Genomic DNA, 17,799 nt, shown 5'->3' on the forward strand with positions numbered 1-17,799 from the left:
ACCTGGAGGACTTTATGTTAGTGAGATAAGCAGATACAGAAAGACTGCATGATCTCCCCTACATATGCAAAATAAAAAAGTTGAACTCAGAAGTAGATTGTAGAATGTAGCTACCAGGGAGAAGGGGGGATAGTGAGGGTTTTAGGGAGGGGGATATTTGATAAAAAGGGTACAAATTTTTCAGTTAGATAGGAAGAATAAATTAATAGATAAGTTAATAAGTTAGTAGATAAGAAATATATTGCAGGCCAGGCACCTGCTTGTAATTCCAGCACTTTGGGAGGCTGAGGCAGGAGGACTACTTGAGCCCTGGGGTTCAAAACCAGCCTGGGCCATATAGTGAGACCTTGTCTCTACAAAAAAATTTTAAAATTACCCAGGCATAGTGGTGCATGCCTGTAGTCCCAGCTACTCAGGGGACTGAAGTGGGAGGATCACTTGAGCCCAGGAGGTGGAGGCTGCAGTGAGCTGTGATTGTACCATTGCACTCCAACCTGGGTAACAGCGAGACCTTGTCTCAAAAAAAAAAAAAAAAAAAAGAAAAAATTCTCTTGTAAAACATGATGACTAAAGTTAATGACTGTGTACTACATTCTTGCTAAGAGAGTAGATTTTAAATGTTCTCACCACAAAAAAATGAAAAGTATGTCAGGTAACATATATGTTAATTAGCTCGATTTAGCCATTTCCTGGTGTGTACGCAATTCAAAACAACATGTATATGATAAACACATACAATTTTTACTTGTTAATTAAAATATTTGAGAGAAGGGAAAATGGTCATTATATAAGACAAAAATGCATGGAATTATATACATCAAAAACAATTTCGTGAACAAAACACCACTCTGGTCTTCCAAATATGTATATTTTTGCTTATATAAAATATATAAATACCTTGACTTACTTGCTTATAAGTTAAAAAGCTTAACGTGCATATAGAAAAGCAGATAGATCCTACGTTTTCACCTTTGATAAGTTTTCACAAACTTAACACAAGTGTATAACCAGCATCACAATTAAAAATCAGGATACCACCACCATTACAGGAAACCCCCCCCTCATGTTCTCTCCCATTTCAGTACCAACCACCCCCTATACTACCAAAGGTAACCACTGTTCTGACTTATGTCACCATAGTTTTGTTTTGCCTGCTTTTGAACTTTATAAAAATGAAATAATATAATATGTACTCTTTGGTTGTACTCAATGTAATGTTTGAGAAATGTATACACATTTTCGTATATAGGAAGGATAATTTTTTAGTGTAGTATTCTATAATGTGAATATACTACACTTTATTTACTACTGAACATCTGTTTTTGTTTTGCAGATTTTGACCATTTTACTATTAATACTGTTATAGTATTTTTATACTTGTTTTTGCTTTTTTGGGCATATGTGCACATTTCTGTTAGGCATCTATACCTGGGAGTGGGATTACCAAGCTATAGGATATGTATTAATATTTGTTCAGATTTAGTAGACACTGCAAAGCAAAGCCTTCTACTAAAGTAGTTTACTGATTCACTCTCACACACAGTGTGTGAGAGTTCCAGTGGCTCCACATCTTCATCAGCACATTGTATTTTTAGTCTTGATTTTAGCCATTCTGGTGGGTATGAAGTGGTATTTGTTGTTGTGCAGATTGCATCTCCCTGATGACTAAAGAGGACTAGTGCTTTGACCTCAAGAACTTCCCCTCTGGGGAGATCTTATGTTATTTAAATCTTAGGTTTTTAAACTGATCTCTGCTAGTTTGACTTTATTTCGATATTCACAGAAACTATTATTTTCCTCTGGTGTTCAGGATATACTGTACACCAAGTTTTTCAAATCTCTAGACCCTTCTGTGTCATATTTTATGGTAATCACTAATAGATACAACATCCAAATTTTGCTGCTTGATGATCCAATTTAATGACTTTCTGTTCCATGTTTAGTGAATTTTTGAAATTGTGAAATATTTAAAGTTATCTATCTGTTTCACAATGTAGCTAATTAAAATGTTTGTTAAATAATTCAACTTAAGAAATCTAAAAGGAAATGCTTTCTGGCTTTAGTGCAGTAATTGTCTTCAGAACAATATGCCAATAATGACTCATCCCTTCTTTATTCATAGTAACTTTGGTTTTAGCTTTTTTGGGGTTTCTTTTGTTTTGTTTTTGGAGAAAGGACCTTGCTCTGCTGGCCAGGCTGTAGTGCAGTGGCACGATCTCAGCTCACTGCAGCCTTGACCTCCCGGGCTCGAGCAGTCCTCCCACCTCAGCCTCCTAAATAGCTAGGACTGCAGGTGTGTGCCACCATACCTGGCTAATTTTTTAAATTTTTAGTAGAGACAGGTTCTCACTGTGCTGCCCAGGCTGCATCGTAACTTTGAAAAGAATCTCACTCTAGGATAGAAAATTACAAGTAAATTTAATGCAAGTAGAAAGTGCATTTGAGACTTAAGTCTGAGTCTAATAGCTGTATGAAATATTTGTATAAGAATCATAATACTGGAGTATAGTTCTTAGTTTTTAATACTAAATTTTCTTTGATCATGAAATGAAAGTAAGAGATCCTTGAAGTATTGCATTAGAAATCTTAGATGGAGGAGGCCGGGTGCAGTGGCTCACGCCTGTAATCCCAACACTTTGGGAGGCCGAGGCAAGTGGATCACCTGAGGTCGGGAGTTCAAGACCAGCTTAGCTAACATGGTGCAACCCTATCTCTACTAAAAATACTAAAATTAGCTGGGCATGGTGGCTCACTCGTGTAATCCCATCTACTCGGTAGGCTGAGGCAGGAGAATTGCTTGAACCTGGGAGGCAAAAGTTGCAGTGAACTGAGATCGTGCGACTGCACTCCCCTCCAGCCTGGGTGACAGGGCGAGATTGTTTCAAAAAAAAAAAAAAAAAAAAAAAAAAAAAGGAAAAAAGAAATCCTAGAAAGAGAGTTCATAGATCATCACTTGGCCATCTTAAAATAACATGGAGACTGAACAAACCCTGTGTTCCCAGGTCTGGTGCCAGGCATTGTCATCCATGTTTTCTTACTGTATTCTTAACAGTACTGTGATATAGGCATGTTATACCCATTGTATGTACAAGGCAATTGAGGCTGGAAAAGGTTAAAGGAGGTCACATAATTAGAAAGGGTAGATGGAAATGTCCTAACTCTGATCTTATGATTTTACTTGCGGAAAAACTATAGTATTTAGAACCTTTGGTTTAAATTGAACAACTCTCTGTCAACTCTTTAGCTATCCTGGGCGCCAGTAATATATAAAAGTGGATTGGCAGTTATTGAATCTCAGATAAAGGACTATTAGGGAATTGTATGGAGAGTTGTTCTTGATTTATACTTTCTTATATTAATATTAAGTAAACATTTTAATTAAAGCATCTAATTAAAGGTACAAATATCATTAAATGTAATACCATAGCAGCAAAGAGGTGATTTTTTTAATTGAAGGCTTCTGCTTTCTGGAGAAGGTGGTCTTGGAACTATCTTCGAAGAATGGAATAGACACTTAGAAAATGGACACTTAGAAATTGGTGCCTGATTGGGTGCAAAGGCAGTATAGAGTTTATTTTCTTACAACTGAACAAATATGCTGATTAAACAAATGAGTACCATAAATAAAAGGAGAAACAACAAAAAGCTGTTTATTATAAAACCATAGCTTTCAAGATGAAGATCAGATAAAGCACACATGAGATGGGCCCTATAAGCTCTGGCTCTGTCTACCCGGTGTCACTGCGGTTACTCCCTTTATCTGCCCTTTTACTGTGGAGGTTCAGAATCATGTGCTGAGTGAGACGGGACACCTGATGTCACAGGTTCTTTACACTTTCACGGATACTGTATTCCTGCAGGGATTACCCTTATTGCCTTATTAATATTTGACAGGGGCTGACACAGAGCCAGAACCTGCTAGATCCTTCATGAGTGAATGTACAAGTGAAGATTTGAATGAGATAGAATGCCATGCCTTTTTACTAAGTTCATATTTTTATCATGTACAGATACTTGTTTGAATAGTTGCATTCTGTCTCAGAAAATCATTATAGTGTTAACTGTAACAAGTTGGTTTACAGGTTAGAGGAAATGAGTGTGCAGTTTTGTAACTTTACTTGCAAATTGTTTAGTTTTATCTTTAGCTGTGATTGAATGTATGCCATTGTTTGATCAAGTGAATGGCGAAGTGATTGATTCCAAATGATTGTTTTTCTTGCTTTTTTTCATCCCTTTTCTTAAATTATTTGGACTAGGAGAAAGGAGGAAGAATGGCTTATTCCCGCTGTCTGTATTGCTTGTTTATAGTTTAGAATTCTTTGGAGTTCCATATGATCACGAGACAAAATTCCTAAACTAGAAATTGGTGTGATTTAATTGGTGTGATTTTTATGATTAAATTTGATTATCTTAGGTTATGGTCTTTTGGTAATTCCGAATGCTTATTGAAAGAAGTTTAAGTTAGCAATAATAATAATGTTTACCATTATTATTTAATTTAATTTATATGTGGGACTTTGCTAAAGACTTTGGCATGTAGTATTTAATCTTTAAAATCATCCTGTGAGATGTCAGTGGATGTTCTCATGTTACTAATAAGGGTAAATTGGTTTCTACAAGGTCACATAGTTCGTAAGGGCCTGAGCTGAGATTTGAACCTACATATGTTTGCTTTCAATGCCTGAGTCATTATGTTAAATTGTTCCTTCTTGTTTTTTCCAAGTATTTATGATGCCTTTCCCTTCACATATTACGGTAGCAGGATGTATTCTTACTTATATATTACTTGTTTAATATACTTTTGGTGGTTATTGTTGGTTGGTTTGACATCTTAACTAGTTTGGACAAAACTCTTTCATTTACTATTGTGTTTATGGTATTTAGAAATTGTGTGCGATTTTGTTTTTACAGCTAAAGGGAAAAACGTAAATTATTTTATTTCACATGCAATATCATTTTTTAATTGGCAATTTGGTCTAAACAGTTTTTAACAATCCTCTGAGACAGAACCCTGGTGTTGAGATATTTCTTTTACTAATATGTGTAAAACAACATCTCAAGTTGTTGTGTGGTATAACTGCAAGAGCATAGTACATGGATAGCACAAAAGCAGCCACGGTAAAAAAGCAAAGAGACGAGCAAATCAGATGAGAGAGAACAGACACGCATTAACTGATCCATCATTCATGATATGCTTAGATTTGTGTTTGAAAAGCTTGCAATAAATGTAAGAAATTCTTATTGATACAAGTATTCAACATCTTATATTAAAAATACAACCCTATCAATTTTATGTACTAAAATATTACAGTGGATAACTGTTTATTATACATTGGTCTGCCAGCACTTGTGTGGTAGTGTGGTATGTTTTATGAATCCAGCTGAATAGCATGTCTAGGCAGAACCAAATGTACAATTATATAAAATAGCCCAGGAATTACAGCCAAAAAACATTAATAATTATTGGCAACTCTATATTACTTTGTTTGCATCCTTATAGTGTTGGCTTATTATTACAGAAGAGTTAAAGTTTATTTTCAGACAAAACAGAATGTCTAAAGTGTGTTATATATTAATCCAGTTCTAAAAAGCTTTTACATTTTTAAGTTTTTAATTTTTCAGTCTTTACTCACTCATTTTTCCTGGTGGACGAATCCAGTTTTTAAAATAAAATATATTTTTCTTCCAAACAACCTTTTGTGTTTCTTGATCTGGAGAATTGAATAAATCTAAATAAGAATTATTGCTTCCAGCATTAAGTTTGTGCAGAAGTTTTTTGAAACCAACTTAATAGGACATCAGTATTGCCATCTGAAATCCAAATTTCTCTTATTTATTTATTTTTAAAATTGAGGACAAGGCCTTGCTACATTGCTCAGGCTGGTCTCAAACACCTAGCCTCAAGCAATCCTACTGCCTTGGCCTCCCAAAGTGCTGGGATTACAGTAAATATCTTTTAAATGGAGACTTACTGACACTGTGTAGAATATATTTTTTAATACTTCAAACTGCCCTAGCATCCATCTGACTTTTATTTCCTGCCTTCTTCAAATAGTCTTCTGCTCTCCTTGTCTAGCTAGCAACCCTCCATTCTTCCATTCCTTGTAAAAGAGAAATTGTCAGCATCTGCTTTTCTGTTGACCTATTCTCTCCAAACAGGCTATATGGTAAACAAACTGCAATGAACATTTTTTTTTTTTTTTTGAGATGGAGTCTCGCTCTTTTGCCCAGGCTGGAGTGCAGTGGCATGATATCGGCTCACTGCAACCTCCGCCTCCCGGTTCAAACGGTTCTTCTGCCTCAGCTTCCTGAGTAGCTGTGGCTACAGGCACATGTCACCACTCCTAGCTAATTTTTGTATTTTCAGTAGAGATGGGGTTTCACTATATTGGCCAAGCTGGTCTTGAACTCCTGACCTTGTGATCTGCCTGCCTTGGCCTCCCAAAGTGCTGGGATTGCAGGCGTGAGTTACCATGCCCAGCCGACATTTTTTTTTTTAGACGGAATTTCGCTTTTATCATGCACAGCTAGAGTGCAGTGGTGTGATCTCAGCTCACTGCAACCTCCGCCTCCCAGGTTCAATCAATTCTCCTGCCTTAGCCTCCTAAGTAGCTGGGATTACAGGTGCATGCCACCACACCCAACTAATTTTTTGTATTTTTAGTAGAGATGGGGGTTTCACCATGTTGCTCAGGCTGGTCTCGAACTCCTGACCTCAGGTGGTCTGCCTGCCTCAGCCTCCCAAAGTGCTGGGATTACAGGTGTGAGCCACCATGCCCGGCCTGCAATGAACATTAAGTTGTAGGAGTTCCTTATATGTCCTAGATTCCAGTTCTTTTTTTGGATTTACATTTTGTAACCTTTTCCCCCCAGTTTGTGGCTTGCCTATTGAGTCTTTTTTTAAACAATATCATTTGAAGATACAAAGTTTTAAATATGATGAGATCTAATTGATTTTTTTTTCTTTTCTGGTTATTACTTTTTGTGTCTTAGGAAGTGTTACCTACCCCTTAGTCCTGAAAACATTTTTCTTTGTTTTCTTTTGCAAGCTTCATGGTTTTGGCCTTGAGTTCAAGTGTCTGATCCAATTTGAATTAATTTTTTTGCTTACTTTATTATTGACAGCTCTTTAAGAGACATATTACTTCAATTTTATAAATGAGGATTTTGGCACTCTGAGATTTTGGCACTCTAGACATTGTATGTAATAGTATATTTGATTTAGAATTTTAGAACCTTTTGAGCAGTGATTGGGGTGAAGATTATACATTAGGTCATATTCGTATGTAACATTTTTGTCAAAACCTTTTTTGAGACTTGCTTCCATCAGAGTAACAAAAATGTTGTTATTAACAAATGAATGTTCTTTTAGTAACAGGATTCATCCCCATTATGAAACCAGTGATATTAAGTGTAGAACAAGGCTGCGACTTTGGTGTGCATATATTTTATCAGGTAGAGATATTATATAATAAGAAGTGGAAGTAAAATGAATTGATTCAACTATTTAACCTGGCCTAATTCATTGTTTTTACTAGATGTATTATGGGGCTTTACATATGCTATCAGCTTTTACTTCTGCCAGAGTCACCCCTTATTCTTAGTATTTGACATTTCTCCCTTGACATTGCAGTAACCATTTCACTACCGGTGTCTGAGGCTAAGGAGAATTCTCTGCCAGGCTTGGTGTCTCACGACTGTAATCCTGTCACTTTGGGAGGCCAAGGTTTGGGGATTACCTGAGCTCAGGAGTTAGAGACCAACCTGGCCTCTAACTCCTGAAACCCCGTCTGTACTAAAAATACAAAAATTAGCTGGGCATGGTGGTGTGCTCCTGTAATCCCAGTTACTTGGAGGCTGAGGCAGGAGAATCGCTTGAACCTGGGAGGCAGAGTTTGCAGTGAGCCAAGATCATGTCACTGCATTCCAGCCTGGGCAACAGAGAGAGGCTCTGTCTGAAAAAAAAAAAAAAAATTCTCAGCAATAGATGTTTTTTGTTGATACACATTTTAGGAAGGTGTTTGGTATGTGCTAGCTGTGAGCATTATATTTCTCACAAGATCCCCATTTTAAAGGGGAGAGTAAGAGAGGTTTATAGTCACACACTTGCAGGTGATATGTGGCGGGAACATACTACAGATCGCTAGTAAATTTTCTGAATGGTGGCTTCTTTTAAGTCCTTACAATTATGTGAGTTGAAATAGGTAACACGACGGTATAGTGGTAATCCAGTCAGTTTTGCAATACTTCAGGGGAAAAGGATGGGGCTTGTATTAGGGTTCTCTAGAGGGACAGAACTAATAGAAGATATGTAATATTTAGGATATCTATCTATCTATCCATCCAGAGAGAGAGAGAGAGAGAGAGGAGTTTATTAAGTATTAACTTACATGATCACAAGGTCCCACAATAGTCTGTCTGCAAGCTTGAAGGAGCAAGGAGAGCCAGTCCGAGTCTCAAAACTGAAGAACTTGGAGTCTGATGTTCAAGGGCAGGAAGCGTCCAGCATGGGAAAGAGATGTAGGCTGGGAGGCTAGGCCAGTCTCGCCTTTTCGTGTTTTTCTGCCTGCTTATATTCACTGACAGCCGATTAGATTGTGCCCACCAGATTAAGGGTGGGTCTGCCTTTCCCAGCCCATTGACTCAAATGTTAATCTTTTTTGGCAGCACCCTTACAGATATACACAGCATGACTACTTCACACTCTTCAATCTATTCGAGTTGACCCTTAGTATTAACCATTACAAGTCCGCCCCTTGTCACCTTGGACCCATACATATCTCCTGAGATCATACATAATCTTCAAATAAAGACAATAATAAGGTCATAATTACGCCTAACATAATACAACTGTCTTTTGTACAACTGGAAATGTACCAATCCCCAACCCAAATACCATTACATAAAGTTAATAATACATAAATGCTGATATGAAGTCAATAAATCTTATGTCTCATGATAAAGGAAAAGGAAATAAAGATATTTTCTTAGTAGAAGTGTATACATGCACAAACATGTTTTTAACAAAAGAAGGAGGAAATACTCATGACAATTACAGTCCTTGTTTCTATAGCTGACCACGTGGTCGTAGCTGGTATTGATGACTACCTTTTTCTACTACCCATTCTGTATTCCCTTTGCATTCAGCAAGCATGTCAGCGGGTCGTGGTTTTCTTTCCTGGTGGAGTGACCCAAATCTTCATTCCTGAGGAGTCTGGACCATTTGTAGTCCTGTCTGGATTGGGCGTTGTAGTTTCCCATTGATCTTAATCACAGGGCATAGTAATACTGAGAGACGCCCTAATGGATCTCCTGTATTCCTTGCATACTCTTCTTTACCTTTGTTGTGGAGTAGTAGACTGATTTCATCTTGATAGTCTGAGTCAATCACCCCTGCCAACACTGTAACTCCCTTCTTAGTCTTGACTTAAAGGTAGGAGGAGCCCAAAGTGTCCAGGTGGCAATCTCAACTTCCAGTTTAATGGAATCATCGTTGTGTCTCCTGGTGGCAGCGTTCCTCCCTCTGGCACTAAGACCCCTGTGCCAGCAGAACATAATGTTGCGGGAACAGGAAGCAAAGCTTTTGCTAGTGGATCACTAGGGGTGATGGTGAGTGGTACCACTTCCACTTCCACCCCTTGATTCCTGGACCTGTGAATCCTGACTGTGGGAGAAACAGTACCATATATTATTGGACACTGATTCAGAGCATACATGGCCTTCTGGAGAACTTTGCCCCACCTCTACAAAGTATTGTCAGCTAGTTGGCATTGTAATTGTGACTTCAAAAGGCCATTCCACCGTTCTATCAATCCAGCTGCTTCAGGATTGGGAACATGGTAAGACCAGTGAATTCCATGAGCATGAGCCCACTGTCGCACTTTGTTAGCTGTAAAGTTAGTGCCTTGGTCAGAGGCAATGGTGTGTGGAATACCATGTTGGTGGATAAGGCATTCCATGAGTCTACAGATAGTAGTCTTGGCAGAAGCATTGCATGCAGGATAGGCAAACCCATATCTGGAGTAAGTGTCTATTCCAGTGAGGATGAACCTCTGCCCTTTCCGTGATGGAAGAGGTCCAGTATAATCAACCTGCCACTAGGTAGCTGGCTGATCACCCCGAGGAATGGTGCCATATCAAGGACTCAGTGTTGGTCTCTGCAGCTGGCAAATTGGGCACTCAGAAGTGGCCGTAGCCAGGACAGCCTTGGTGAGTGGAAGTCCATGTTGTTGAGCTCATATGTAACCTCCATCTCTGCCACTATGATCATTTTGTTCATGGGCCCATTGGGTGATGACGGGTGGCTGGGGAAAGAGGCTGAGTAGTATCCACAGAATGGGTCATTCCATTCACTTGATTATTAAAATCCTCCTCTGCTGAGGTCACCTTTTGGTGAGCACTCACATGGGATACAAATAACTTCACAGTTTTTGACCACTCAGAGGGGTCCATCCACATCTTCCCCACATTTCTTTGTCACCAATTTTCCAATCATCCTTCATCCAAGTCCCTGACCATCCAGCCAAACTCTTGGCTACAGCCTATGAATCAGTATATAATTGCACATCTGGCCATTTCTCCTTCCATGCAAAGTGCACAACCAGGTGCACTGCTTGAAGTTCTGCCCACTGGGAAGATTTCATTTCACCTCTGTCCTTCAGAGATGTCCTAGAAAAGGGCTGTAGTGCTGCAGCTGTCCACTTTTGGGTGGTGCCTGCATATCGTGCAGAACCATCTGTGAACAGGCCCTAGTCTTCTCTTCCTCTGTCAACTGATGATAGGGAACTCCCCATGAGGCCGTGGGTGCAGGCTAGGGGAGAGAAGGCAGGGTGGCAGGAGTGGAGACCATGGGCACTTGAGCCACTTCCTCATGTAACTTACTTGTGCCTTCAGGATGTGCTCGAGCGCAATCACGTATATACCACTTCCATTTGATGATAGAATGCTGCTGTGCATGACCCACTTTATAGCTAGATTGGTTAGAAGGCACCCAATTCATGATAGGCAGTTCAGGTTGCATGGTGACTTGATGACCCATAGTCAAATGTTCAGTTTCCAGCAAAGCCCAGTAACAGACAAAGAGCTGTCTCTCAAAAGGAGAGTAGTTACCTGCAGAAGGCGGCAGAGCCTTGCTCCAAAATCCTAGAGGCCTCCTCTGTGATTCACCTATGGGGGCCTGCTGAGGGCTCCAAACAGCATCCACTTCAAGCACTAGTGGATCTGCTGGGTCATATGGCCCAAGTGGCAGAGCAGCTTGCACAGCAGCCTGGACCTGTTGCAGAGCCTTCTCCTGTTCTGGACCCCACTCAAAACTGGCAGCCTTTCGGGTCACTTGATAAATGGGCCAGAGTAACACACCCACATGAGGAATGTGTTGCCTCCGAAATCCAAATAGGTCCACTAGGCGTTGTGCCTCTTTCTTGGTTGTAGGAGGAGCCAAATGCAGCAACTTTTCCTTCACCTTAGAAGGAATATCTTGACAGGCCCCATACCACTGGATCCCTAGAAATTTTACTGAAGTGGAAGGTCCCTGAATTTTAGTTGGATTTATTTCCCATCCTCTGGCATGCAAATATCTCCCCAATAAGTCCAGTGTCTTGCTCACTAGATCCACTCAGCATAATGTCATCAACGTAATGGACCAGTGTGATATCTTGTGGAAATGAAAAGTGATCAAGGTCTCTCCGAATAAATTATGATACAAAGCTGGAGAGTTGATATACCTCTGAGGCAGGACAGTAAATGTATATTGCTGGCCTTGCCAGCTGAAGGCAAATTGCTTCAGATGGGCCATATGGACAGGAATGGAGAAAAAGGCATTTGCCACGTCTATGGCTGCATACCAGGTACCAGGAGATATGTTAATTTGCTCAAGCAGTGAAACCACATCTGATACAGCAGCTGCAATTGGAGTCACCAGTTGGTTAAGCTTACAGTAATCCACTGTCATTCACCAAGATCTATGTCTTCTGCGCAGGCCAAATGGGATCACCATCCCTGCGTCTTTCAAGTCCTTGATGGTGGCATTAATTTCTGCAGTCTCTTTAGGCATGCGGTATTGTTTTTGATTTACTATTTTTCTAGGTAGAGGCAGCTCTAATGGCTTCCATTTGGACTTTCCCTCCATAATAGCCCTCACCCTACCAGTCAGGGAGCCAATCTGGGGGTTCTACCAGCTCCTAATTATGCCTATGCCAATTACGCATTCTGGCACTGGGAAATGACCACAGGATGAGTCCGGGGACCCACTGTACCCACTGTAAGTCGCACCTGAGCTAAAACTCCATTAATTACCTGACCTCCATAAGACCCTACTTTAACTGGAGGACTACAGTGACGTTTTGGGTCCCCTGGAATCAGCATCAGCTCAGAGCCAGTATCCTGTAGTCCCTGAAATGTCTGATCATTTCCCTTTCCCCAGTGCACAGTTACCCTGGTAAAAGGCCAGAGGTCTTGGGGAAGGATGGGAGAAAGATTCACTGCATAAATTGTTGGTAATGTAGTGGGATCCTTCCTCAAGGGGACCCGGCCTCCCCTTCATTCAAGGGGTTCTGGATCTGTAAACTGGCTCAAGTCCGGAAATTGATTGAGGGGCCATGATTCTCTATTTTTAGAATTCAACTTAGTATTTTGTCCATTTGACCTAGAAGTTTTCTGCTGATATAAATTAAGTAGAAATGCATTAGGCTTCCTATCAGTTTCACTTCTAGGAACACCATGATTAATTAGCAAATGCCAGAGCTCTACAGGAGTCAGATTATTCTGATTGCCACTTTGCCTCTGCTGCCCATTGTGGTAGCTATGCCCACTTGCCTTTGATGGTTGAGTGCTGCCACTTAGTTGGCCCCTGCAACTTTGCAATCCAATTATTCCCATTGTAGTTAAATTTAGTAGTTGAGTGACTGTGCTTCCCACCATGAGATCTGACATACAGAGAAGAGCAATTACAGTGCTTTTCACAGATGCAGGTGCTGCCCTCAGCAATCTGTTTCACAAGGCATTGGTCAAGGGTATATCTTCTGGACCTTCCCAGCTGTGATGAGTAGGTCTAAAGGGACTAATCCACTCCACCACCCCAATCTCCTTAAGCTTTTGGATCCCTTCCTCTACATCAAACCAAGGGAGATCAGGCATTTCCAGGTTGCTCACAGTGGGCCACCTTTTAATCCATATTTCAGGTAACCAAGCAAATAAACTATTAGAACCTTTCTTAACTCCCCGAGCTGCAACATTAAAAGCAGAGTCCCGGCCAGGCATGGCAGCTCACGCCTGTAATCCCAGCACTTTGGGTCGCCGAGGTGGGCGGATCACAAGATCAGGACTTCGAGACCAGCCTGACCAACATGATGAGACCCTGTCTCTTCTAAAAATACAAAAATTAGCCCGGCCTGGTGGCACACGTCTGGAATCCCAGCTACTTAGGAGGCTAAGGCAGGAGAATCTCTTGAACCCAGGAGGCGGAGGTTGCAGTGAGCCCAAATCATGCCACTGCACTCCAGCCTGGGTGACAGAGGGAGACTCCATCTCAAAAAACAAAACAAAACAAAACAAAAAAAACAAACAGAGTCCCTACTTAGTGGGCCCAATTCATTAAATTCGGCTTGATCCAACTCTATGTTCCTTCCACTATTATTCCTTACTCTTAATATCCATTCCCATGGCTGTTCTCCAGATTTCTGTTGATATAAATTAGAAAACTCAAAACAGTTCTTTTCAAGTGTAGCGCACCCCGTCATGGGTCACACTCTCAACCTCACTTCTAGGGGCCCGCCGGGACTTTAGTTATAGGTCTAGAAGCAAACAGGGGTGTTGAGGGTGACTCCTGAGGAGAATCAACATTATTTTTCCTGGCAACTGCCTTAGGGGAGGCTATCACTGTTGCCTCAGGCCACTCAGGGTTTATCTCCTCAGACAAGGGTGGAAAGGCTGATGGCAGCATGGGTCCAGGTGGGGATGTTGCCGCTACTGGAGATGGGGAAGCTGTTGCTTCTGGCAAAAAAGCTTCCTCAGAGTTCACAAACTTAGTGTCCCCATTCCAAGTTGCAGGGTCCCATTCTTTTCCAATCAGTGCCCTGACTGTAATGGTAGACACCTGATGAGGATGTGTATGCAACTTTTGTTGCAGGTCAGCCATTTACATGATAAGAGCTTGTGTCTGTTTTCCACAATTTCAGCTCTTTCTCTACAGCAGATAAGACTCTCACTCAGGGCAATCTTAGCAGATTTGAGGCTCAGTATGTGCTTCTGAAGCCAGGAGACAGAATCCCTGAATTCATCATTTTCCTTCATCACTTTGTCCACTGAACTTAGGAGCAACCAACCAGCTTCATTATGTTCCTTGGTTCTCCACATATGGTATTATGTAGTCACCAAACTCCTTGCTGCTCACAGTGGTGAATCAGTAGTGTCAAATGCATTTATTTTGCATAACTCTAAACAGTTCGTGCCAAGGACTCTCAGTGTTATCTGTACTATTAGAAGTAGAGTCCTTAGCATTTTCTTATTAAGCAGCCAACTCCAGAAACCCCGAAACCAATGAAAGAACTCCATCCTTAACATTCTGTTTCTTTAGAACCACTCTTGGTACCAAAATCTGTATTAGGGTTCTCTAGAGGGACAGAACTAAGGGGAGTTTATTAAGTATTAACTTACACGATCACAAGTTTCCACAATAGGCTGTCTGCAAGCTTGAGGAGCAAGGAGAGCCAGTCCGAGTCCCAAAACTGAAGAAGTTGGAGTCCAAAGTTCAAGGGCAGGAAGCATCCAGCATGGGAGAAAGATGTAGGCTGGGAGGCTAGGCCAGTCTCGCCTTTTCACATTCTTCTGCCTGCTTATATTCACTGACAGCTGATTAGATTGTGCCCACCAGATTAAAGGTGGGCCTGCCTTCCGTAGCCCACTGACTCAAATGTTAATCTTTTTTGGCAGCACCCTCACAGACACACCCAGGATCAATACTTCACATCCTTCAATCCAATCAAGTTGACACTCAGTATTAACCATCACAGGGCTTCATATATTGAATGAGATCATGTCCAAGTCAGTGTACTTTAGGGGTGTTTTGAGCAGGGCAGAAAGAAGCTAATGCTACCACCAAAGAGAGCTCTGCTTTGTTACTGGACTGCCATCCACTAGAATTTATGATTAAACCCATTCCTACCTGCTGTTTACTAGGGGAGAGGCTGTTGTTTATTTTTGGCAGAGCAAACGAACACAGTGAGGACTACTGGGAGACTCACTTGAAGACAGGCGGATTGCATCTAAGAGGTGGTGTTGCCCACACTGCAAATTGTGCTTGTGTCTGTCTAAACAGCAATGAAAACTGGCCAGGTTCATAGTACCCTTTCAAAGTGGAGTTCTCTAAGGAAACATTAGCTTCAGTTGATAACTCTCAAAGAAACTAGGACAGTTCCCAGGCTGCTCTGTATTTGTGTAGATAAACAACAGGCATTAATAGAGCCATACTGAAAAAAAAAAAAAAAACAGTAATAAAATTCACTGTGTTCTAATTGTGTCCTCATAGCAGCGTTATATTTTTTAACCCCAAAATGGTACCTAAAGTGGAGATTTGTATGCATTATGAACTAAATACATTTTCTTAAGTAGTATTTATTGTGTTTAGGGTTTGCCACTATTTCTGACTAAAATGGATGTTCATGGTCTCAAGCACATTGACCAGTTATCTTTTAATAAACTATTTTTTATTGTGCACAGAACCAATGTAATGGCATTAGTTACTTGTTCTTTCAGTTTATTTTGATAACAATTTTCTCTTCCATAGTAGTTCTCTCCATTTAATTGAATTTGGGCATGTTATGTGAGTGCTTTTGATCTATAAATTAGTCATTAATAGATGTAATATTTAAATGATTTTAGGGATATAACGCAAACTATTTTATCTCATAACTCAGACACAGTTTTCAACATTTCTAGAGAGAAATTTTCCTGCCTGCTTGGAACAACACTTTGAATTGTCATGTGAAAGCAATTCCATTGCCATTTCAGTGTCCAGATTTATGTCAGCATTAATTACTGTCGCTGGGGAGTTCTGTGAGCCAACATTGTATGTGTGTGGATATTTACAAATGCACCGTTGGATTCTTTGTCGTTCAAGTGAATGTTGACTATTTACAGGTAAAGAACTCTCTTGTCTTTGTAGATATCAGGTTATTTGAATCAAGTAATATTTGCCTATCTATTTATACATTAATATGTTTAAAAAGAAATTTCTCCAAGAAGAAGCATTCGTCATTCACTATTTGTTTGATGAGATGATACTTACATTCTTATTGTGTAATCATAAAATAGCTAATTTTGTCGTGCTTAATGCCAAGAGCAGATGCACTTTCTAATAAAAACAACATGCAAAGCCCAAATCTAAGCATTATGTAGAAGCCTATTAAAATCTTGGAGTATTTTTTTTGTAATTTAAAAACGTAATTGTGGTTTGCATTGTGCCCAGTTTTCAAAAAAGTATGTGATTGGTGCCACAGCTTAAAAACCGAAGAAGCAAAAATTGTCCCTTATGTTTTTAAGTATAATGAGTCATTTTGAGAGACAATGTCATGCCTAGAGGTTTAGTGCATACCTCTGGCACCAGACTGTCTGGATTCAAATCTTGACTGGGCATGGTGGCTTATGCCTGTTATCCTAGCCCTCTGGAAGGATGAGGTGGGAGGATTGCTTGAGGCCAGCAGTTCAGGACCAACCTGCCAAACATAACTAGACCCCCATCTCTTAAAAAAAAAAAAAAAAAGAAAGAAAAAGTATTGGCTTCTATCATTTACCAGCGTTGTGATCTTGGGAAAGTATATATAAAATGCTTAAAACAATGCCTGGCACATAGTAAGGACAAATGAGTAAAACCATAAAGGGGAAAAGCAGTTAGAGGGGTGTGTGTGTGTGTGTGTGTGTGTGTGTGTGTGTGTGTGTGTCTGTCTGTGTCTGTCTGTCTGTTACAGGGACTTCTCCTATAATCAGTTGCAGTTTTTAAAAATTGGGTCTTTTATTTCCTGATCTGTCAATGACTTTCGTAGAGTAACTTTCTTGAGTATTGTTCTAGACCCTCTAAGGCAGACAGAAGAAATAAAAGGCATTGTCTCTACTTTAAAAGCTAGAGCCATATTTAAATAAGTACCCAAATGGAGATAGATACTGTTAGTTCATTCTTGCGTTGCTATAAAGAAATACCTGAGACTGGTTAATTTATAAAGAAAAGAGGTTTAATTGGCTTACAGTTCTGCATGCTGTACAAGCATGGTGCTGGCATCTGCCCAGCTTCTGGGGAGGCCTCAGGAAGCTTACAATCATGGTGGAAGGCAAAGACGGGGTGGTGGTTTCTCACATGGTGAGAATGAGAGCAAGAGAGAGATTGGCAGGGGTGGGTGCCACACACTTGGGAAAAAAACAGATGAGAGCCTACTCACTCCAAGGGGATGGTTTTAAGCCACTCATGGGTTTTAAGCTCCCATGATCCAAACACCTCCCACCAGGCCCCACCTCTTAACACTAGGCTGGAGTACTTGCTTTCTAGTGTGGTCTCATGAGATTCGGACAGGGGCACATATCCAAACCATGTCACATACAATTCAAAGAATTATAGCAATGTGTAAGTAAAAAGATCTTAATCTTTTGTAGTAAAAACAGAATGAAGAAGTATAAATGGTGAATTTTCATCTTGGAGGACAGGAGCTATATAAAAACCCATCATGAAAAGTCTCAGCTTTGTATCTGGGAGAAACACATGATGAAAACGAGCTTGTTATGTTCTTTGTTCTCTTGTAGGCCTAGTCATTCATT

General features: G+C 40.3%; 1 protein-coding gene across 54 annotated transcripts in view; it reads left to right on the top strand.

Moving 5' to 3' along the window:
- The window catches only part of SIPA1L1 (signal induced proliferation associated 1 like 1), a 420,734-nt gene that overhangs the window by 130,638 nt on the left and 272,297 nt on the right, over positions 1-17,799 (top strand). For 3 of the 54 annotated variants that reach the window (XM_047431215.1, XM_047431240.1, XM_047431213.1), the window contains exon 4: positions 16,006-16,134. The exons of the other annotated variants lie outside the window; for them this stretch is intronic. The gene's annotated coding sequence lies outside the window, so the exon portion shown is untranslated. The remainder of the gene's footprint in view (positions 1-16,005; positions 16,135-17,799) is intronic. 54 annotated transcript variants of the gene reach the window in all.

The sequence above is a fragment of the Homo sapiens genome, chromosome 14, assembly GCF_000001405.40.
Source record: "Homo sapiens chromosome 14, GRCh38.p14 Primary Assembly".
NCBI classification, from domain to species: Eukaryota; Metazoa; Chordata; class Mammalia; order Primates; family Hominidae; genus Homo; species Homo sapiens.